The following is a 22,989-nucleotide window of genomic DNA, read 5'->3' on the forward strand; positions in this document are numbered from 1 at the left end:
TATGAAAATCAATAAATGTAATCCAGCATATAAACAGAACCAAAGACAAAAACCAGATGATTATCTCAATAGATGCAGAAAAGGCCTTTGACAAAATTCAACAGCCCTTCATGCTAAAAACTCTCAATAAATTAGGTACTGATGGGACGTACTTCAAAATAATAAGAGCTATCTATGACAAACCCACAGCCAATATCATACTGAATGGACAAAAACTGGAAGCACTCCCTTTGAAAACTGGCACAAGACAAGGATGCCCTCTCTCACCACTCCTATTCAACATAGTGTTGGAAGTTCTGGCCAGGGCAATCAGGCAGGAGAAGGAAATAAAGGGCATTCAATTAGGAAAAGGGGAAGTCAAATTGTCCCTGTTTGCAGATGACATGATTGTATATCTAGAAAACGCCATCATCGCAGCCCAAAATCTCCTTAAGCTGATAAGCAACTTCAGCAAAGTCTCAGGATACAAAATCAATGTACAAAAATCACAAGCATTCTTATACACCAATAACAGACAAACAGAGAGCCAAATCATAAGTGAATTCCCATTCACAATTGCTTCAAAGAGAATAAAATACCTAGGAATCCAACTTACAAGGGATGTGAAGGACCTCTTCAAGGAGAACTACAAACCACTGCTCAGTGAAATAAGAGGATACAAACAAATGGAAGAACATTCCATGCTCATGGATAGGAAGAATCAATATCGTGAAAATGGCCATACTGCCCAAAGTAATTTATAGATTCAATGTCATCCCCATCAAGCTACCAATGACTTTCTTCACAGAATTGGAAAAAATTACTTTAAAGTTCATATGGAGTCAAAAAAGAGCCCGCATCACCAAGTCAATCCTAAGCCAAAAGAACAAAGGTGGAGGCATTATGCTACCTGACTTCAAACTATACTACAAGGCTACAGTAACCAAAACAGCATGGTACTGGTACCAAAACAGAGATATAGACCAATGGAACAGAACAGAGCCCTCAGAAATAATGCCGCATATCTACAACTATCTGATCTTTGATGAACCTGACAAAAACAAGCAATGGGGAAAGGATTCCCTATTTAATAAATGGTGCTGCGAAAACTGGCTAGCCTTATGTAGAAAGCTGAAACTGGATCCCTTCCTTACACCTTATACAAAAATTAATGCAAGATGGATTAAAGACTTACATGTTAGACCTAAAACCATAAAAACCCTAGAAGAAAACCTAGGCAATACCATTCAGGACATAGGCATGGGCAAGGACTTCATGTCTAAAACACCAAAAGCAATGGCAACAAAAGCCAAAATTGACAAATGGGATCTAATTAAACTCAAGAGCTTCTGCACAGCAAAAGAAACCACCATCAGAGTGAACAGTCAACCTACAGAATGGGAGAAAATTTTTGCAACCTACTCATGTGACAAAGGGCTAATATCCAGAATCTGCAATGAACTCAACCAAATTTACAAGAAAAAAACAAACAACCCCATCAAAAAGTGGGCAAAGGATATGAACAGACACTTCTCAAAAGAAGACATTTATGCAGCCAAAAAACACATGAAAAAATGCTCTTCATCACTGGCCATCAGAGAAATGAAAATCAAAACCACAATGAGATACCATCTCATATCAGTTAGAATGGAGATCATTAAAAAGTCAGAAAACAACAGGTGCTGGAGAGGATGTGGAGAAATAGGAACACTTTTACACTGTTGGTGGGACTGTAAACTAGTTCAACCATTGTGGAAGTCAGTGTGGTGATTCCTCAGGGATCTAGAACTAGAAATACCTTTTGACCCAGCCATCCCATTACTGGGTATATACCCAAAGGATTATAAATCATGCTGCTATAAAGACACATGCACACGTATGTTTATTGCGGCACTATTCACAATAGCAAAGACTTGGAACCAACCCAAATGTCCAACAATGATAGACTGGATTAAGAAAATGTGGCACATATACACCATGGAATACTATGCAGCCATAAAAAATGATGAGTTCATGACCTTTGTAGGGACATGGATGAAGCTGGAAACCATCATTCTCAGCAAACTATCGCAAGGACAAAAAACCAAACACTGCATGTTCTCACTCATAGGTGGGAATTGAACAATGAGAACACATGGACACAGGAAGGGGAACATCACACACCAGGGACTGTTGTGGGATGGGGGGAGGGGGAGGAATAGCATTAGGAGATATACCTAATGCTAAATGATGAGTTAATGGGTGCAGCACACCAATGTGGCACATGTATACATATGTAACAAACCTGCATGTTGTGCACCTGTACCCTAAAACTTAAAGTATAATAATAATAAAAAAAAAGAAAAGAAAACTCACGGGTTCTGTTTTGGATCTGTTCCATCTGGAGACTCAACAAACATTCGAGTAAGATGCTGGAAGGGCAATTAGATATATGAGTCTGAAGTTTAAAGGAGGTGTCCAAATTACAGAAATGTAGGTATTTCAACATATAGATGTTGTATGAAGCCACAAGACTGGTGCCCTCAACTATAGCCAATGTTGAGGAGTGATAGGGTCAAAAACTTGATTGGAGAAGCTTCAAGAGAGAATGAGAAAAGAGGGATGGTAATAACGCAGTGCAACTAGGTAGAGGGGGCATTCATATACATACTTTACAGGTGAGGAAATCCAGGCTCAGAGAGTGAGTGTAACTTGCTAAAAGACACACAACTGGTAAGAAACAGAATCGGGCTACAATCCAGGTCGCCACAAATGAGTGTTTCACCCATTTCTCCAGGCCGACTGGACTGGGACTTCTCTGCTGTCCCTTCCTTCCTATACCCCTCTTGGGTTTTATTTTTTGGCAAAGGAGATATGGGGGGAAAGGGGAAAGAAAAACTACAATTGATACTCTAAATGAGATAATATATGTAAAGACCCTTGGAAAACTGTAAAGCCATATAGATGAAGGGAAGTATTACTATTAAGTTTGGTAAGGTTTATTTATAACATTATCACTTCCTGTGATGGCTAATCATTTTAATTTCCCTCAGAATTGACCTTTAAAATGAGGAAAATTGGACTTAAGTTAGACAAACTAATGCTATAATTAAAACATGGTCAAGAAAGATTTCAGGGATCTTCTGGCAAAGAGATTGGGGAAGAAGCCCATCTCTCTGGTTGACTTCCCCTGAAAGCAAAATAAGCCATGAAACAGATGGTGAAAGATACTGTTCATTTTGCCATGAAATAGATTGTGGAAGAAATATTGATCATTCAATGAGGAGCTATCAAAACTGGTTTTCCTTGAAGGCAACTCTGATTTTTTAATAACATGATCTGGATGGGAACACTACCCATCCAGCTAAGGAGCATTCATGGACGAAATCTATGAAAGCTTCAAGAAGAATCTATCTGCCCCATGAGTAAAAGACTGGCCTAATTTGAGGTCATGTGTGACAGAAAGAAAATAGCATTAACCCAAAATGAAAGTCTCTGAGTCAGAGAAACCCGTGTTTCTCACTTTCCCCTAGATTTCTCAGCCAGCCAGAAAAGGAAATAACATGATCCCATCTAAGGACTTTGTATTGAGAAACTAGGTCAATCATCATCTAACTAAGAGCCTCCTATTGAAGTAAATGAAGCGTGTTTAGGAGATTCAGACAGATGTGCTTGTAAGTGGTTATCTAAATGTGACCCCTAGTGTACAACTTGTGTGGCACTCACAGGGGAAAATCTAGGTGATTTGATGGACTGGAGACCACAGAATCATGGAATGCTCAAGCTGGAAAGAACTAGAGAGCATCTAATCCAGTTTTCTAGCTTTACAAATGAGTGGTTACTATCTTTCTATCACTAGGCAAGTGATTAAGTGACTTGCCTAGGGTGAGATAGTGGCAGAGCTGGAATGGAACTAGGTCTCCTAAGCCCCAATCTAGTCATTTCCTATCCATTTGAGAATGTTTTCCATAAAATGCCATTGTCTTTATGTAGTTTGATGTAGGACCTACCTACAGAAGAACGTGGGAATTAAGTGTTGATTTCACATTGGCTAATATGAAGAGGGTATTGACATCATTTATATGATCTGAAGCAGTGCTCATTAGTAATTGAATCTTAAAGTGCTCATGTTAAGAATTGCTAGAAAGATTGAAAACACTTTCCATATTTTCCACATTGCACATCACACATTTAAGTGGCAGATTATGCCACTTCTTCTCAGCCCAAGGTTCCTAGTGATCTTCAAAAGAAAGAAATTATATCATGGAACTAGAACATTCAGTCAGGGTAGAAACCTGCTGGACTGTCTCCCAAGGTTCCCAGCTATGGCCATTTGTGTAGGTAGCTATTATTTTTCATCCATGGTTCCAGTAGTAATAGAGGACATTGTGTCCTCCTGCATACTGGTTCTCCCAACCCAGATGCCCCTCACTGCCATCCAGTGAGTATTCGGGTCACTCACGCTGTAATTTCTTCCAATAGTTTGTTGCATATTCCATTGTTGGATCCATCCCCTTCTGGATCCCCTCAGTCTGTAGAATGACCTTGCCTTCCCCCAACTTTACTGAAAAAAATCAAGGCCATTCAACATGACCTAACAAAGCTTCCCTTTTCTTCACTCTACAATGTCTCTTTATCTTTTGTCCTTTCCAAAAAAGAAATATTCCTTTTCTTTTCAATGTCTAGTCCTTTTGTCCTTGTGAACCCTTCCTGGGACATTGCTTCATCAGTTATCAACATTCTCTTCTTCATTTCCATTTTCTCTTCTCTTTATGACTCCTCCCTTAGCTAGAAAAATGCCCACAAAACTTTTAAAAAAACTTTAAACTCAAACTTTAAAAAAACTTTAAACTTAAACTTTAAAAAAAAGAATCTGTTGGCCAATTCCTCTCAAGTTAAATCCATTTTCACCCTCCCTTTTACTTCCAAATTTGCTGAATGATCGAATTTGCCACCTTCTTTATGCCTTGCAATTTCAATTTTAATCCAAGAGTCTCCTGGAATTATTTTCCTAGAAAATTAAAATAATCAAAATTGAATCATTTGACCCAATGACCTATTCTTAGTTTTCAGACTTTCTTGACCTTTCCATGGAGTTTTGTCCACTCAGAAAATATTTACTAAAGATCTACTTTGGCAAGGCTCTGAACTAAGCCCTGTGGGGAATAAAGATGAGAAATGCCTTGCCAAGAGCTTAAAAACTAGTGGGAGAAACAAACAGAGAGATATACCAAGTGAGTGCTTTTTCCTTACAGCAATTTGGTTATATAAGTCAGCGATATTTTTCACATTATTTGTGTGTGTGTGTGTGTCTAATCATCCCAGTTAGAGTATAAGTTTCTTGAGAAAAAGAACCTGGTCTTCTGTCCCCAGTGTGCCCTGCATAGAGCCTTGGCCTTGGTAAATGTTTGTGATAATCAGCCTCTGAGATGGCCCCAGTGGTTCTTGCCTCCTGGTTTTCATGCCCTTGTGTGGTCTCTTTAAATATTGAATAGGTCTAGTTTATGCAACCAATAAGATTTTGAGGAAATGATGGTCTGTGACTTCTGAAGCTAAGTTACAAAAAAATTACACTTTTGTCTTGTAACTGAGAAAACTTTGCAGCTACATATACAGTCTACCTTTTATGGAAAAACAAATATGACTCGGGGGTAGAACCAAGAACTCAGAGCATGGAGCCAAGCACAATTAAGACTTATGCCGGGAAAGAGTAACACTGACTAGTGAGGCCTCTTGTGAACAGCCCGTGAAGAACTGAGGCAGGACTCCTGCCCGCAGCCATGTGAATGCACCATCTTAGAAGTGGCTTCTCCAGCCCCAGTCAAACCTTTAGATGACTGCAGCCCTGCCAAGATCTTGACTGCAACTAAATGGCCAAGCTAAATTGCTCCTTGATTCCTGACCCATAGACACTGTGTGAGATAATAGATGCTTTTTTTTGTTTTAAGCCACTAAGTTTTGGGGGGTAATTTTTTTATGTAGCAATAGATTACTAATACAGTGTTTAATAAATATTTGTCCAGGAAATAAATCATATCTCAAGAAGGAACATAACCAAATCCCAAGTATGCTTAGTAACTAAACTAAACAAAACAAAAAAACCTTTCAAACATATACTCCTAGGCCCTTGGCAGGGAGAAAAGTTGACTCTCAATCATAATATACCCTCTTTATGGGCCCAAAATACAAAAAGAAAGCAAGGAAAGATGTTGTGATTCACTTCACTGTTGACCAATGTAGACTGTATATTGTTGTCTTCTTCCTTGAATATGCAAGGAATGTCCAAAATGTATGTGGACTGGCAAGAAAAACAGGCAATGTGACCCAGGAGATAATAAGGGAGTTAAGGCTCTTCACTCACTGATTCTCTCTCCTTCCCTCTCTTTTAGGCCTGAATTAATAATCTTTGTTATCACTGCTTCATTTTCCAGGATTACAAGAAAAAACAAAGTATTGTAGGTAAAAACAATACAGCCAAGAAACGTCATCTTATGTTTATACATTTAGAAGCATCCTTTGGAGCAGGAAGAACTTAAATTCTAAATCTCAAGATAGCTAAAACAGATGCACTATTCCAAGGAGCCAGCAAGGAAAATACAATCCTGCTTCTCAAACACATCCCCTGGAATTGGTCGCAAGTTATCTTCAGAGAAGAGAATTGTCACCAGATTAAGAGAGTAAAGGACCCGATGACAAGCACGCCTGCATTGCATTCACAGGGCTGGCTTTCAGTTCTCCAAAAAATTCATGTCATTGCCTAAAAATTACTAATGGAAATTGGTACGCAGACAGATACAATACTGTTGTTGTTTTTGGTTGTGGTTTTACTTCTACTAAAGCCCACAGCACTGCTGAGGAATTATCCTCTGAACTGAAAAGTCCTAAAGTTAGGCTTGTATTTGACTTCAAACAATAAACCCCATGCTGAAAATGGCTTCAGCAGATACAGCTCTTCCCTCCAGTGAGCAGGCAGTGAGGAGCAGGCAACCCAGTCTCCTTCTGACTTCCTGTTTATGTTCCAAGCAGGAAGAAGGGAGAAAGACAAGAATGCAAAAGGCAGAATGGGCATCCAGTCTCATCTGTCCGTTTTAAAAGCTTTCCTAGAAGCTCTACCCAGCAACTCCCACGCCCATCTCATTGACGAGAACTGGGTCACATGACCACTACTCCTGGCGAAGGAGTCTAAGAGGTGAATGTTTTCATCTTCTTACTTCTCCATTAGAGGAAAGCAGGGAGAAAGGAGTTGTGTGTGCCAGTGGGGCCAGTTCACAATGTTTGCCACACTAGGGCTATAAGAGATCTTGGGTAATTCTGCAAATCTGTTTTTCTGCCCCACATAAGATTATTTCCCAAAGATAATGCTCTCCTTTAGAGTATGTGGTGAATGCTGCAATACAGAAAAGGATCTCTTGCCCCTCACCCCTTCACAGCAGAACAAAACAGCAAGACTTTCCTTTTAGAAAGCAGATGCCTTGGGAGCTACTTCACCTGGGGCCAAACGTATCCTCTCAGCAGCAGAGGTGATTATTTTTCTTAATTACTATTGCTTTGCATCTTGTTATGTGAGCTGTCAGCGTCTTAATTTAGCTGATGACTTTCTACAATCATTTTAGATTTATTTGGTACCTAATTTACTTAACATAGCTTTTGCTGTGAAAGTTAATCCGAGGCCCAAAAACTCTTAATAAGCTCAATATTTTACAGTGAACACTACCCTGAGGATTGCTTTATGAAAATGATGACAAGGCGCAGGGTCTGTAGCTTTCAGAATCAATAAGTCACTGACTAATGAATTAGAAAGGTCTTGAACTTCTACTTCAGTGCAGGCTTCATGTACCAGATGCACAAATGAGCATTAGTAAATGGAGCTGGTTCTTAGTAGAAAATTTCCATTAATCCAACACCGAGTGTAGAAGAATCTCTGTAGTCTTGTAAATAGACTTAAGAATAATTATTAAGAATTAAGAATTATTGTGATTAATTAATTAATTAAAATGATACTGGTTTTGCCACCATTTCTTCAGGTATTTCTCTTAAGATGAAACTGTTTTGTTTTTCTGTTTCTACCAGTCCTGACTTTTGATATCAATGGAAATCAGCTTAGCAAAAACAAACAAAACAAAACAAAACAAAACACCCCTTTGAGCTATCTCTCTCCATATACCACTTAGGGGTGAGTTCAAAATGCAGGGACCCCTTCTGTGTATTTTACAATCCAAGACTGAAAATACAAATGAAGAGGAACACAGAGCAATCATAAAACAGGCATACCACTTGACAATGCAGCTAGCTGCCCCACCGACTGGAGCACCTCACGTGTGTGCCTGCTACCTTCACTTCCAAATATCTAAATAGTGCCCTGCAAAAAACTAGAAACTTGGGGAACATTTGTGGAATAAATAAATGCTTTTGATAATGATGGAGAGTAAAAGTGGAGGAAGGAGGAGAACAGGCAGAAAACCCTCACAGGGGAGGCAGTCAGTATGTGCTTGCGGAGAAGGTGGGATTTTTCATTTCTCTCCCTGGGATTAAAAGGAGCAGGAGACAAAATTTGTCTTTACAGGTGGGTGGGAAGACAAATCCAAGCTTCTAGGTTCTAATCCAAAAGCACAGAGGATCTAGTAGGATCTGAAAAACAGACATAGGAGCCCAAGGAAGAAGAGAGAGAGGCTGGGGAGTTGGAAGGAGTTGGGAGGAGTCGAGAGAGGTACACTGTTTCTGGACTCTCAGCCTCAATTCCCTCGCCCCCAAATTAGGAACAAGAAGAGGACTAGCTCTGCCTATTTCAAAGGTGTTTTAAGTATTCAATGAAATGGGAAATGTGAAAGTGTTTTCAAAACTTCCAAACATTCTGTTAATACGATAGGTCCTTTCAAATCTAATTTTGGCCCTGGAACAAGTGAGCAGGTGGTTCTGCTCACCATGATGGTAAACTAGGCACAGAGGCAAGTCACGAAGGGGTTGTGGCCCTGGGATAAAAATGGTCAGGGTGCTTGAAAGCTTTGCCATGAGAGTCTCAGATTGCCTCTGTTTCTTAGAACACTCAACTTCCTGAAATATTTTTTACACTGAATGTTTTTATCACCAACAAGGCTTTATGAGAAATAAGGAGACTGAGACTCCAGAAATTAAGGGGCTTTTGTTGATCATTTTGTTGTTTCTTGTTGCACACACAACTGGTTAACAGCAGAGCTAGGAAGAGAGCTTATTCCTCTTGGCTCCTAGTCCAAAACTCTGCCCATCCTGGAAAACCCTCTAGCATGATTTAAACCTATTAGCGCTTTGTTTCAAGCCCATACAAGTTAATGAGCAAGAACTAGGAAAGATTATATGATTCCCCTGGACTTCTGATACCTTACCTTAGAGCAATTTGCATGAGGAAAGTCACAGACTCCAGGCTTTCTCTAAATTGATTCCCTTTTTGCAAAGCCAAGTCCATCTGTTTTTCTGGGAGGAAAACAGGGGTACTTGTGCTGTAGCCTCCCTGTGGAGTTCTGCACTGGGGGTTCACAAGAGAGCATCACAACAGGCCAGCCTGCCTGGGTTTCATAGTGGAAGAGCTAGACCTGTAGCTAGCTCTTGGTTGTGGAGGTCCCATCTGTTTGAGAGATCATCTGCTTTAAGCTAGATTTCTTTATTTTGAAGCCAGGCAACACATTTATTTAGGTGGTTATGCTAAAGCTATGTGTTATTTTTCTTCCTTCCCTTGCCCGTTTGACCTGCTGTTGACTCTGTCTGATTTTTGTCCCTCTAAGGAGTGAAAGCAATGGCCCATTTTTGTATTTCAATTACAGAAACTATTTTTCTTCCTACTGAAAAGAGAACAGAATGAATATTCAATAAAATAAGCACTCTTGTGAAGTTAACTAATGAAGGTATGTTATCTGATAGAGGTGACTTCCTTCTGTCTTCATAATAAAAATAACTAGAGTTACCAAGGCAAATTGTATTATAAACTTTTTATCAGGGACTTTCACATACATAATTTATGTGCATATACAGTAATGCACTGCATAACAACGTTTCAGTCAACAATGGACTGCACGTATGCTGGTGGGCCCGTAAGATTATAATACCGTACTTTTATTGTACCTTTTCTGTTTAGATACACAAGTACTTACCATATTGTTGCAATTGCCTACAGTATTCAGTACAGTAACATGCTGTACAGGCGTAGCCCAGGAGCTAAAGGCTATACCATATGGCCTAGCTGTGTAGTAGGCTATACCATCTAGGTTTGGGCGAGTACACTCTATGATGTCCACACAATAACAAAGCCACCTAACGATGCATTTCTCAGAATATATCCCCGTCATTAAGCGATGCTTGACTGTACATGTTTGTGAACTTTTATAAACCTTGGAAAAGCAGCCTAAAGGTACACTTCATATTGCTTCTATAGACTATGCCACACAATGAAGCACTTAATTATGCAATATTTTTTCATGTTAATTTTGAAAGTCTTTAGAAGTTGAAGATTACATCTACTAAACTTCTTTATGTCCTCCGCAAGACCTAACACAATCCTAAGCATGTGGAAGGTGTTTAAAAAATATTTTTAACTGGTTGATTTTGAGAAATAAAATACTAATCCTTAGGTATTGACAAATACCTGGAGAGGTAAGGAGGGTCTGGTTGATGAAGAGCTATAAATACCATGTCAATGATGATAATGCCTGCAAGCTAGGAAGTGGCTTCAATGGTCTAGTAGAGGACAAAGGTAGAAGGGGGAAAGAAGTGGAGAGATGATGCTAGCAGAGAGATCTTTTGGAAGCTGTTGGAATGGTCTGAGTGGGAAAATGTCTAAATAATGGCATTGACAGGGGACATGCAGAAGATGACACAGATGCAAGAAATACATAATAAATACCATCAATGGGATCCCATTGGAGTGGGGGAAAAGGGAATCTGCAATAATTCCCAGGTTTCAGGTTTGGACAGTTGCATCATTATCCAAAACAGAAAACACAGCATGATGAAGAGGTTGGAGATGGGAAGAAATAAAGAGTTTCATATTGGACGTTGTCAATTTTGGGACTAGCAGGAAATCTAGATAAAAATGTTTAGTTAGAGGTTAGCAGTGTATGGGCCAGTCTCAAAGAGAGGAGGGAAGTTTGAGCTAGGGATTTAGACTTGGAGGTTGTCAGAGCGTGGATGCTAGTGGAAGGTGTGGGTGTCAGTGAGAACACCGAAGGACAGTATAGAGAAGGATGTTAGGATTTAAGGCAGTCCCATGACAGAACTAGAGAAAGAGCTATAGAGGGGCAGGAGGGAAACCGGGTGATTCCCTGAGGGCTTGTGGAGGCAAGAGCACAAGACTGGTGACTGCAGTCAACAGAACGAAAGGTATAAGGTCTCAAAGAGATGAAAAAGCTGAAAAAAGGGAATTCTCAAAGTGGGCAATTGATGGTCAGGTCTTAGAAAAAACTAATGTCAGATGCATGACAGTGCCCAAGATGTGGCCATGGGGGACACTTGAAGCTGAATCATGAAACTTCAGCTTCAGTGGACGAGGAGATTACTGCTCTCGCATGTAATCTCTCTATGAATTCCAAACATAGATTCTGTTGTTTGGTTTGAAATTGGGCTAGTGGGGCAGGACTTGTTGGAGAGAAAATGAGGCTATTTGGCCAAAATACAAAGCTAGGTCTCTGTAGACAGCAGATGTTGTAAGGTGCAGCTGTAGGCTGCATTGACCCAGCCTTTTGGTAAATGCTCAAATATGGTGCCATTTGCTGATGATAATTGATATTTGAGTGATTGTGAAGAAGATTAAAAGAAAATACTTTACTGGAGCATAGCAATTTTCATCTCCACAGTCAAAGTACAGAGGGCAGGCAGGGTGACGGTCCCAGGGGATTTGCACAGGTCACATCATGCATACGGATGAACACTTGACTATGAGTGCTATGAAGAACAGGTGATTAGTCTGGAAGCGAAAGATAGTAGGGGCCACAAATAAATGGCAAAGTATCTTAATATTGCTGCAGTTTAAAAATAATAACTGACATTTATTTAACCTACATCGGACACTGTGTTCTACAGAAGCTTTATGTGTATTCTCTCATCTAATACCTGAAACACCCTTAAGAGGTAAAATAACAACTAACACATGTATCACTTACTAAGTGCTTACAGCTACCCCATGTGTTAGTGCTATAGTGTTGTTTTGAAGATAAGGAAACAAAGGCACAGAGAGGTTATGGAAGCCCATTCTAAATCAAGCTAGTACACAGTGGAACCTGAAGTGGAACCAAGGCAGCTGGAAGTCAGAGTCCAGCTCTTAAGCACAATGCTTACCATAGGCATTTTACAGGTGAGGAAAACAAGGCACCAAAAAAAATAAGCCTCTGAACCACAGTGACACAGCTAGTAATGTTGAGGCAGGAATTTGAAGCATTGGAAAGCAGTGAGCCATTAGGAGGCAGATTATGGTACATTATAAAAAGGCTTGTCTAGGCCAGGCGTGAGCCACCACAGGCTCACGCCTGTAATCCCAGCACTTTGGGAGGCCAAGGTGGGCCTTATGAAGTCAGGAGTTCAAGACCAACTTGCCCAAGATGGTGAAACCCTGTCTCTACTAAAAATACAAAAATTAGCCAGGCATGATGGCAGGCACCTATAATCCCAGCTACTCGGGAGGCTGAGACAGAGAATTGCTTGAACCCAGGAGGCGGAAGTTGTGGTGAGCTGAGATTGTGCCACTGTACTCCAGCCTGGGTGACAGAGCAAGACTCCATTTCAAAATAAATAAATAAATAAATAAATAATTTAAAAAGGCTTGCCTAAATACCAAAGCTACATAACAGTGAGATAGGCTGTCCAGTGGGGTTCTGAGTCTTCTATGCCCAGATAAAGCCAGGAAATGAGGTGGTATCTTTAATTGGCATCACACGTTATCGTTTCTGAGGTGCTTTATGGGGAGACGCTCTTTTTTGGCTTTACATCTGACGAACTTGCTGGTTCTTCCCAGTCCACTCTGGTCAAGAACTTCAAACTGAAAACAGACCCATTGTTTTGGCATGCCCTCTACTAACTGCTGTCATTGGCACTTGAGTTGGTTTTTGCAAAGGTCCTAGATAATTTTTTCCTATTGAGTAGCATTTGCTGAACCATTACATTATATTTCTGTACTTGTGCTCCTCATTCATTCATGTGCTTATTCAACGAATGTTTACTGAGTATCAGAAATGCCAGGTGCTGTCTAGGTGTTAAGGATGCAGAGAGAAAGAAGGCATAGTTCCTGCCACAGAGGCTGTTCGTGCCCCACTTATATCCCCCTATCCTGAAGGTCCCCAGCATACAGGTTTTTGCAGGCCACAGGCATCCAGCCTCTCTCTGCCTGAGGGTGTTTTCTGGCCATGGCATGCTTAGCCCATGGACAGGAGTGTCCCTCAGCCCACAGGGGCAGGAGCTGTTGGGTAAATGCCCCGGCTTCCCTGCCCTTAAGTGGGACGATGTGAAGTGTGCTCCAGACTATCCAAGACTCCCCAGGAAAGCTAAGCCCCAGTTCTAGAATTCACATCAGGAATATCATTAACGCTCCCTTTATTGACTCTCCTCCATTCCCTTCCTCATTTCCTCACTCCCTCACTGTAATTCTTGAGATCATTTTCTAAACAAACTACTTGCACCCAAATCCTTGTTTCAAGGTCAACTTTTGGGGGAGCCTGCCCTCAGGGACTTCCAGCCTAGTGGCTGGGACATACGAAACCTTGGATTCATTCAAACAAACTACACTGAGAAAATGAGAGGCACCCTCCTTAGAAGGGAGAAACACATCACATGGCCGTCCCTTCCGGTGCCTTTCGGTCAGCTTCTAGCACGGAACAAAGACACCCAGGGGCGCCTGCAGAGCACAGTCAGGTCAGAGTACCAGTGCTGAGAAGTGATGCATCGGCACATGGGGATGAAGGTTCTCAGTGTTCTGCAGGCAACATCATCCATCACTTGTATAGAAGGGAGCAAAAAATACAGGAGAAAAAGAGAAAGCACGTTCAGGTGCCCTGTAAAGATTTTATTTAGCCACCCATTCCTTGTCTTCAATGGGGAGCACATACTCTGAACTCAGCAGGACTCTTTGCCCCTGGATCCCTTCTGCAGCATCTTGGGTTATTGGCTACTAGCCTGGTTGGGGTAAATTTTAAAAATCTGCAGTTCATGCTTGCAAAAGAGCAGCATCAGGGGAAAGGGGTATGAGCATCTGACAGGCAGTCTAAATCCCTTGGAACACAGATTTAAACAGAGTAGGATCACAGGCACAAGCTTCTTTGAGGCCACCTACCTACCGTCCCCTTGTCAGACATGGTTTGTGTCATGAGAACACAGTGTGAGTTGTAGGGTCTGTTCCCCCACTGAATTTTAAGATGAAGCATGTTTAGCAAACCACTGGAAATGCTTCTAGACCAGAGCTTCCATCATAAGCTAATTTGCATGAGGGCTTTTATTGTTATTAGGAGAAGGTTTTGCCCTCTGCTGTCAGGTGAAATGAAAGCAGACGTGAAGTATGCACCCCGGGCTAGGCCCCAGGGATCGGTCATTTCAGCCCTGTAGGGAGGACTTCAGGAAAGGTAGAAGGAGCACTGGTCCTCAAGCACTCTGTGACTCGTGGGGGCCCCAAGCAGCCCCACTTGATTTGGGGCCCATGTGTGAGCAGAGTGACAGGGTTCATGAGGGATGGTGCTCTGCCTTTCCACCTGTAGCACAGCAAGGTACTGAGGTTGGAGGAGATGTAGGGATCTGCAGGCTTGGGGGTCCATGGGAGAGGAGGCCAGCAGCCACACCCACTTGGTGGCTCACTGGACGTGTTCCAGCAGCCAGGCCCCCTCATTTAACTGAGAGCACAGACAACGATGAGGGGACTGGGAAGGAGACCATGAGAAGACACTGGGTGTTCCAATACAATACCCTCAGGATCCCACAAGTAATTGGCAGATATTTTTGATTGGGACAGAGAAAGAATTTTGCCTCCTTTACATGGAGGTGGGAGTGAGGAAGCAGGATTCAAGGAATCAGTGAAATCATCAAAGCTAATGTGACATATGGGAAAATGGGAGTTAAAAATGCAATTTAAAAAAAGGTTGGGAAAACTGGGCAAAACATTCGTTCTGGAGAGGCAGGCACAGTCAAGTTCTGCTTGCCAGCCTCTGGGAAACCACAGGCAGGTACAGGTGGTCTTCAAGGATCTCAAGCTAAAAATCAGATCCTATCCTGGTAGAGTGTACCACCTCTGGCCTTAGGCAATGAACTTCCAGCCAGTGAACCTAATGGTTTCCAAAGGCCAGATGTTCAAAATTTGTCTTTAAACAGGCCCAGCTCATCTTCATGGTTTTAACTGTTATTATAAACTTGTTTCAATTTTGCACCTTGATCCTTAGCCAGATTCTGTGCCTAGGTGCAAAAACAAGTTACACGTCTAGGATCTTTGTGGCTCTGAATAAGGATTGCCAGATTTAGTAGATCCAATACAGGACCTCCAGTTATATTTAATTTCAGATAAGCAATAAATAATTTTTAGTATAAAAATTAACATGCAATATTTGGGACATATTTATAGAAAAACTACTCATTATTTGTCTAAAATTTAAATTTATCTGGGTGCCCTATATTTTATCTGGCAACCTTACCCTGAATAGACATTTCCCAAGAAAGCAGAGCAACAAAACATCTGGCACAAAAGGAAAGTTCTATGATCCTTTTTCCTACTGAGTCAAACTGAAATAACTGACGGATGGATTTGTCTTTCTTAGCATGTGTATTCCCTTTTTACTTCCCAAATGACTGAAGTGGTAAAATAAAAAGCACAAACAATAAAACCATTAAAATGGAAATTTAAAAATCAAGTGAAATAGAAATGGATGGGGACATTTGAATTCCAGAAGCCTAGGCTGATATGGTTTGTTGACCTTGGCATTTGCTTCTGAACTCACTGACACTCTGAAGCCAAAGTAAAACATTATCTGATACAAGAAAGCAGGCAATGAAAGTGTTTTTTTCTGGTCTTTATTCTTAGAGGACTTTATTGTGTGATTCACTATACCAGCGCAGCACATTAGCCAATGTGGTACAAAGGGAGGGCAGGTTCTGGAGCACAGATACCCATGGCACTGGGCCTGAGCCCCACCTACACCATCACTTCACCTTTCTCATCTCATTTCACCATCTGTAATGTGACTTGTAACGTAATGAACACATTACAAATTTAAAATATCGTTACTAGCACTAGGACTGAGAGTATCAGCACCAGCAAATAATAATAATGTGTTCTGTGATGGTTGTATTGAAGACACATAAACATTCTTTAAATGTCTGTTATTATATTAACCCCTGATTTTAAAAGACTAGGATACAATATTAAAATGTGATTCAGTGACAGGCTTTCTTGCAAGGCAGGTCATAAACCCGTCAATCATCCTAGCTAACCACGTGCCTCCTTGGACTTTGTGGGTGAGAAGGAGCACAGGGCTTATTGTGGGGGCTGTCACAGAGCACAGGTATACCAATACATCTTTTCTTTACAACTGCCAATAATTTCCTCAGAGCCTGAAGCCTGAGGATAAATTGTCTTGACCTAAAAGCAAGCCGAAACCAGATGAAAGTATCCCTTCACACCCACGGCAGGGCTACAGGCAGTACTTATCTCAAGGAAATGGCAATGCTTGGCCTCAGTAACAGGAGAAGGAAAGATATGTGTCTGTGGATATCACTGGATTTGCAGACAGGCTAAGGAATGCAAGTGCTTAGTCATGGAGAAATGGCTGCCAGGGAGCTGATAGAATATCAGCGTGACTGTTGCTAGGTTTCTTATCTGTCATCCATGTTTCTATGATTCTCTTTCAAAGGGGAGAGTCAGAGGGTGCCCACCCTGCTCACAGAATCCCTGGAGAAAATATGCTTCATCTTAGAAATAACAATCTGAAAAATGATGATGACAGTGATGATAAAACAGCTAGCATTAGATATTGTGCTGTTTTATATGCCTGCCCTCATTAAATCCTGTGGAAGGTTCTGTTATTACTCCCACTTTACTATGAGAAAATAGATTTGAAAGTGATCCTTTCTTCCAGTAAGTAGCGGGATAAAGACCCCTGGGACTCAGGTGTATTAGTCTGTTCTCATGCTGCTATGAAGAAATACCTGAGACTGGGTAATTTATAAAGAAAACAGGTTTAATTGACTCACAGTTCCACATGACTGGGGAAGCCTCAGGAAACTTACAATCATGGTGGAAGGCACCTCTTCACAAGGTAGCAGGAGAGAGAATGAGTGCCAGTAGGGGAAATGCCATATGCTTATAAAACCATCAGATCTCATGAGAACTCACTCACTTTCATGAGAACAGCATGGGGGAAACCACCCCCATGATTCAGTTACCTCCCATGGGGTCCCTCCCATGACACGTGAGGATTATGGGGATTACAATTCAAGATGAGATTTGGGTGGGAACACAGCCAAACCATATCATCAGGAAAGAAGATTGTTCAGATTTCTGTTCTTATTTGCAAGGCTGGTTTATTTTTGTAGCAGGATGAGCTGTGGACAAAACCCCACAGACACTGAGGTAGTGAAGGAAGTGGCTTTAATCAGCTGGAAGCATCAGCAGACTAACGTCTCAAAATCCAAGCTTCTCGAGTGCACAATTTCTGTCCCTTCACAACACTAAAGATTTTACATGAAAGGGCTGTGATTGATTGAGCAATCTAGGGGGTATGTGACAGAGGCTTCATGTACTGGTAGTCAGAGTGAAACAGAACAGAACAGGAAGTTTCACAATGTCCTTCCATACAATGTCTGGAATCTATGGATAAGATTGGTTGCTAGGTCACGGGTTGAATTTTAACTATCAGGTAAAGTCAGGCAGGCCAAGGCCTGGTTTTGGGTCTGGTTTTGGGTCTGGTGCCTGGTGCCGGGCTGCCTGCTTTTGGTTTCACTTCCTTGTTTCTTCTTAAAACAGGTACTGAGTATAAAACAATATAGAACAATATGGGGGGGTCTCTTTCTCTCTTCTCTCATTTTAACTGATAGAGGTGCAAGATCTGAGGGCCAATTATTCACAAACTTAAATAACTATTAAGTACCTACTATTAGAATAGCATCGAGCTCATCAACACCAGGAATGCAAGGATGGCTGCCACCCACACATGTTTACGATCCAGTTCAGTCTACAAATAAACTGAGGTAGAATATAAATAGAAAAGTACCTACAGAATCTGGGGTCACACTACATCCCTTCTGATGAATGGCCTTTGAGTAGGTGGATTTGCCTATCAAAGGCAGCTAGAGGTATGTGATAGGGGACCTTGCTCCTGATACTTCCCACAAGAGAGGGAGGCTCTAGAGGCCAAGACCAACCCTCAGGACATCAGATATTTGGCTTGGCTGAGAGGTCATTCTGCTGGCTCCTTCGAAGGCATTCCCTGATTCTTCCAGAAGCATGGAGGCCTTCAAACTTTGGGATTCCCAGTTACATCATCCATTGGAGACATTGGCTCTCCTTATTTTCCACAAAAATAATTAGCATCAATTCTTGGACAGAGAACAGAGGAGGAGGTGTGAGGGTAGAGACTGTGACTCACTCTCTGGCCAGGAAGCTTTGCTAACTCACTTTAAAAATTGACAGCCCTGGTCAGTAAGGGTGAGGATGGCTGACTGCAGACGTGGGTGGCATGTCTGTCCTTAGGAAGGCTGTTCCTTAGTTGGAGGTCACAGCCAGGGACCACAACTGAAAGCCTCAGCTCTGAAGGGCAGAGAAGAAGGCCCCCAACAGGGCTTCTGAGCCCAGGTGCCAGATCCAGAGTCAGGGCAACCTGAGGCTTTCTCGGCAGGTACCTCTCCAGTTCTCATGGTTTTCAGAGCCAGTGGCCTGTACAATGGAGATTTCCTCCTTTGCTTTGTGTTCTTCTTGCATTTTTAAACAGCAGTTTCTCAGAACAGATGCTCTCTTCTCTCCTTCCCTATGCCCCTTCTGCACAAACAGCAGATTGCCTGCTTCTGTCATCTTTATAGAGGGAAGGAGAGAAACATGCTAATCATGTTCTTTTTCCGCTTCCTCCTGCTTGCAATTAGCTATGCGAGCCAAGGGCTCTCTCTCCTCTCTTACTCTCTTCCCTGAGGAACAAACCCTCCAAGGAGATTTTCCTGGGCACTTCCCACTAAGCCTGCTTCCCTTAACAGACACCTTGGGTTTTGGCTGTTGTTGTTTTGGATATTTACGTCCTTTGACCTCCTAAGAGCCAGATGTCATGCAGTCACATAACTTCTTGATTTCTAGTTCCCCTGTATATTAAAGACCCAAGAGCATATTGAAATGTATGGAAGCCACCAGCATCAAAATTATTCTCATGCCTCCTTCTCCCAGGGCTGCTGCATCACACAACCACAGGGGCATTAGTCACATAGGGCTGTGTGTCTATCCGATAGTCATGCAACACTGTGCACAGATGTCATGTAAAACAAGCACAACCCCAAGCCATAAAATAAGTTTGTTTTATGACAAAGCACAAGTCATAAAACTTGTGATGAAATGCAACAAAATTCTGTGGCATTTTTTTCTCATGACTGTGTTAATGCTAGTTTTGAAATATCAAACATAAGTTCCCCTCCAACGCTTTTTCGTTTGGTGCAATAAACTCCTGAGTAGCCCACCCATCCAAGTAATCCAGCACTGAGCAAACCCACTAGAAAGCTCCTTTGCAGCTCCCTATTTTGCAGATGCACCATGTAGCAGACAGCTAGAATGGGCCCTTTTAATCCTGAGAAGGAAAAGACTAGAACATTGAGACTTGCCCAAGCATGAGTCACCATAGAACAGTATCTGAGAGAATTTGAAATCAAACAGGCTGGATTCAAACACTTTCCAGACCTTGAGGAGTGGTTCAATGATGCCATGCATAATGATAATGGGGATTCTCTGCCTCCTATAGGTTCTTAATTTATATCGTTTATATATATTCAGACCTATATTTCAGGCTGCTGTGAGGAACAGTGGCCTGGCAGGACTCCTTCTCCTTCCTAGCAAGGTAGAAAGGTAGGGCTATGGCAGGGATCCGTGTCACAGTGGAGAGGCAGCAGTTGGAGTCTAAACAGGAAAATAGAAACTATACAAGTACAAAAGTAGAGAAGATTTAATGCAGGAAATAGATTACACAGATATTTCAGTTTGCATTCCCCAGGAGATCCAGAGAGAAGGATTCGAGTGCAAGTATTTTTGCAGGGAGGTGATGCAAAAATTTATAATAAATGTGCATACATATATATTGCATATTTTATTTTTTTCTTGGAGAACTGGTTGTTAAGCCTTTACCAGCACACATTTGGTGAAATGCATTAATTTAAAGATGATTCTTTCCTACAGGTTATACCATATCAGGACCCTGAAGATGTCATCTGATCCAGCTACCTTTACAATTAGGAAAGTATTGTCTATAGTCTGAGTTATATTGCAACATTTCTTTCCATTCAATTCATCACACGTTTAATGATCATTTACTGTGTATTAGAAAGGTGTCATTAAATCACCGAGTCTTAGAGCTTTAAGAAATCTTTGAGACATTTAAGTTTAAACTTCTCGTTTTCTTAATGGAGATAAAAGTCATATAACATAAAATTCACCATTTAACCATTTTAAAGTGTATTAATACAATTAAGTGGTTTTTAGTCTATTCATAATATTGTCAACCATCACTACTACCTAGCAGCTCCAGAACGTTTTATCACTCCCAAAAGAAACCCTGGGCCCATTTAGCAGGCACTTCCCATTTCTCTCTCCCCCACAGCCCCTGTCAAATGATAATCTATTTTTTGCTATGGATTTGCCTGTTCTAGACATTTCATATACATGGAATCCTGTAAGATGTGGCCTTTTGTGTCTGATTTCTTTCACTTCATTTTCAAGGTTTTCAAGGTTCACCCATGTTGTAACATGTGTTAGTATGTCTCCCTTTTTATGGATGAATACTATTCCATTGTATGGATATACCACTTTTAAAAATTCATTCATCAGTTGATGAACATTGGGTCATTTCCACTTCTTTGGCTACCATGAATAGAATTCATGAACGTTCATGTGTAAGCTTTTGTTTGAACATCTTTCTAGTTCCCTTGGGTGTGGAATTGCTGGATTATGTGATCATTCTGTTTAACTTTTGAGAAACTACCAGACTGTTTCCACAGAGGCTGCACCATTTTACATTCCCTCTAGCATGGTCTGAGGAAAACACCTCACTTTTGAAAGGAGGATTCTAAGGCCCAGGAAGGTTCAGTGACTTGCACAAAGCCATGACAGAACTGGGACCAAAATCCAACCTCCCAGCTTCCACTCTGCTCCTTTGTTAGCCCATGGCCCCACTCAAAGGCCAATGCAACATGTTCTTTCTGTTGTATAACTTAAGGCAGGAAAATAGTTACTGCAGGAAAAAAAATGTAATATTGGTGAAAACAAAAAGGATGAATTTTCCAATACTCTGAGTTCACCAGAAAATTCGATTAATCAGAACGCACCCCCTATCCCCATCTCAATCCCCATCCGTATTGACCCAACTTCACAAATGTCTGTTTACTAAAGCAAATGCTTCCAATAACACACTGGCCTTAGTATAAACACTCAAACAATAAGATCACTGTTTAGGCTGTTTTGAAGGCACTTTTCTAAGAGACAAGCATGGACTCTTTTCCCTTCCTCTTCTTCCTAGCTCTGCTTCAGGCCTCTGTCATTCTTTATGCAGGCTTTTAGGATCGCAGCTTCTCTGGCCTCCCTGGTTCCTGTTTTTCTCACTGCCCATCCCTCATTCCTCTGTCTCCAGCCAATTATCCAAACAAAGATCTTGTAACATCATCCCCCTGCTGTAAATAACATTAGTGATTTCTGAGAGTTCAAACTCTTTAGTGGAGCACTTAAGGCCCTTCCCAACTTAGGCTTTAGCTACCTTTGCAGTGTTTATCTGCATCCCCTCACTCATTTTGTGCTGAAACCAGATCAAAAGAACTGCACATCTCTCAACATGTGCAGCACCTTCATGCTTTCCATTTTTTTTCAAATTATAGTTCATTCAAAAAGCAATACTTAAAGCTTTCTATGTGCCATTCTGAGGATTCAAATCAACATATTTCCTGCCTTCAATAAATAGACTTACAACCACCATTGCAGATAAACCGCCCACTAAGCAAATAATAGAACCTGATCTATAAAGTAATAGATATGCAAAGTGCCGAAATAGACCAAAGTCGGAGATGATTAACTTTCTTTAGGAGTCATTCATGAAAGGCCTCACTGAGGATGTAATGCTAGAGCAGAGCTTTGAAGGATGAAGAGAAGTTCACCAAGTGAACGTGGAGGAAAAGCAGTCCAGGCAGAAGGAACAGCTGCTGAAAAGGTCAGGTGCCCAAACCAGAAAGGCATGTGAGGGAATTCATGGGCAGTTCTGGAGAACCAGAGCAGAAGGAGACAGGCTAGAGAATGGCAGGAGATAGCCCTAGAAAGCTCTATGTGTGCCAGGTGCAAAAGGCTTGTGCGCCAGCTAAGGAGTCTGCACTTTCCCCTGTAAGCAATTAAAAGTTTTAAGCAGAGGAGGGATTGGTTTGTATTGATCTAGATAATTCAGGGAACAATGAAGGGAGGATATTTGAGGAATCCCAAAGAGCAGGGGCAGAGACTCTCATCACAGTTCAGGCCTGACCGAAGGCCATAGGGAGATAGCAGTAAAGCAGGGAAACCTACTGTCCCTTCTTCACCTGGAAAACTATCACCTTCCAGAGTTCCTGTCACCCCAGTGAAGGCAACCACTGTCTCTTCTGTTACCTAACACGTGGTACAAACAGCTACCATAGCATGCCCCTCGTGGAAGGAGTTTTCTTTTAACACATTCCCAACCTTCATCGCAGCTCTGGGAAAGCAGAGGCCAGGATGCTTTATATCTCCAGCGTTCAGTACCCTGTTGCTTTCTAAAGTACTTCTCAAACTTGGATTAAAATGCAGACTTTGGTTCAGTAGGTTTGGGATAGAGGCGAGATTCTGCATTTCTAACAAGCATCCAC

The 22,989-nt window shown here is 41.5% G+C and overlaps 1 long non-coding RNA gene across 10 annotated transcripts in view, besides 1 other annotated feature; it reads right to left on the minus strand.

The window, feature by feature from the left end:
• Positions 1–22,989, minus strand: part of TNPO1-DT (TNPO1 divergent transcript) — a 245,434-nt gene that overhangs the window by 10,027 nt on the left and 212,418 nt on the right. The gene's annotated exons all lie outside the window — the stretch shown is intronic.
• Positions 17,188–17,287: an enhancer, noted in NCBI's record as "active region_22652". NCBI's record gives its function as "activates an Ori minimal core promoter by ATAC-STARR-seq in GM12878 lymphoblastoid cells {active_cell/tissue: GM12878}" and the evidence as "EXISTENCE:reporter gene assay evidence [ECO:0000049][PMID:35858748]".

This window comes from Homo sapiens, chromosome 5, assembly GCF_000001405.40.
Source record: "Homo sapiens chromosome 5, GRCh38.p14 Primary Assembly".
NCBI lineage: Eukaryota > Metazoa > Chordata > Mammalia > Primates > Hominidae > Homo > Homo sapiens.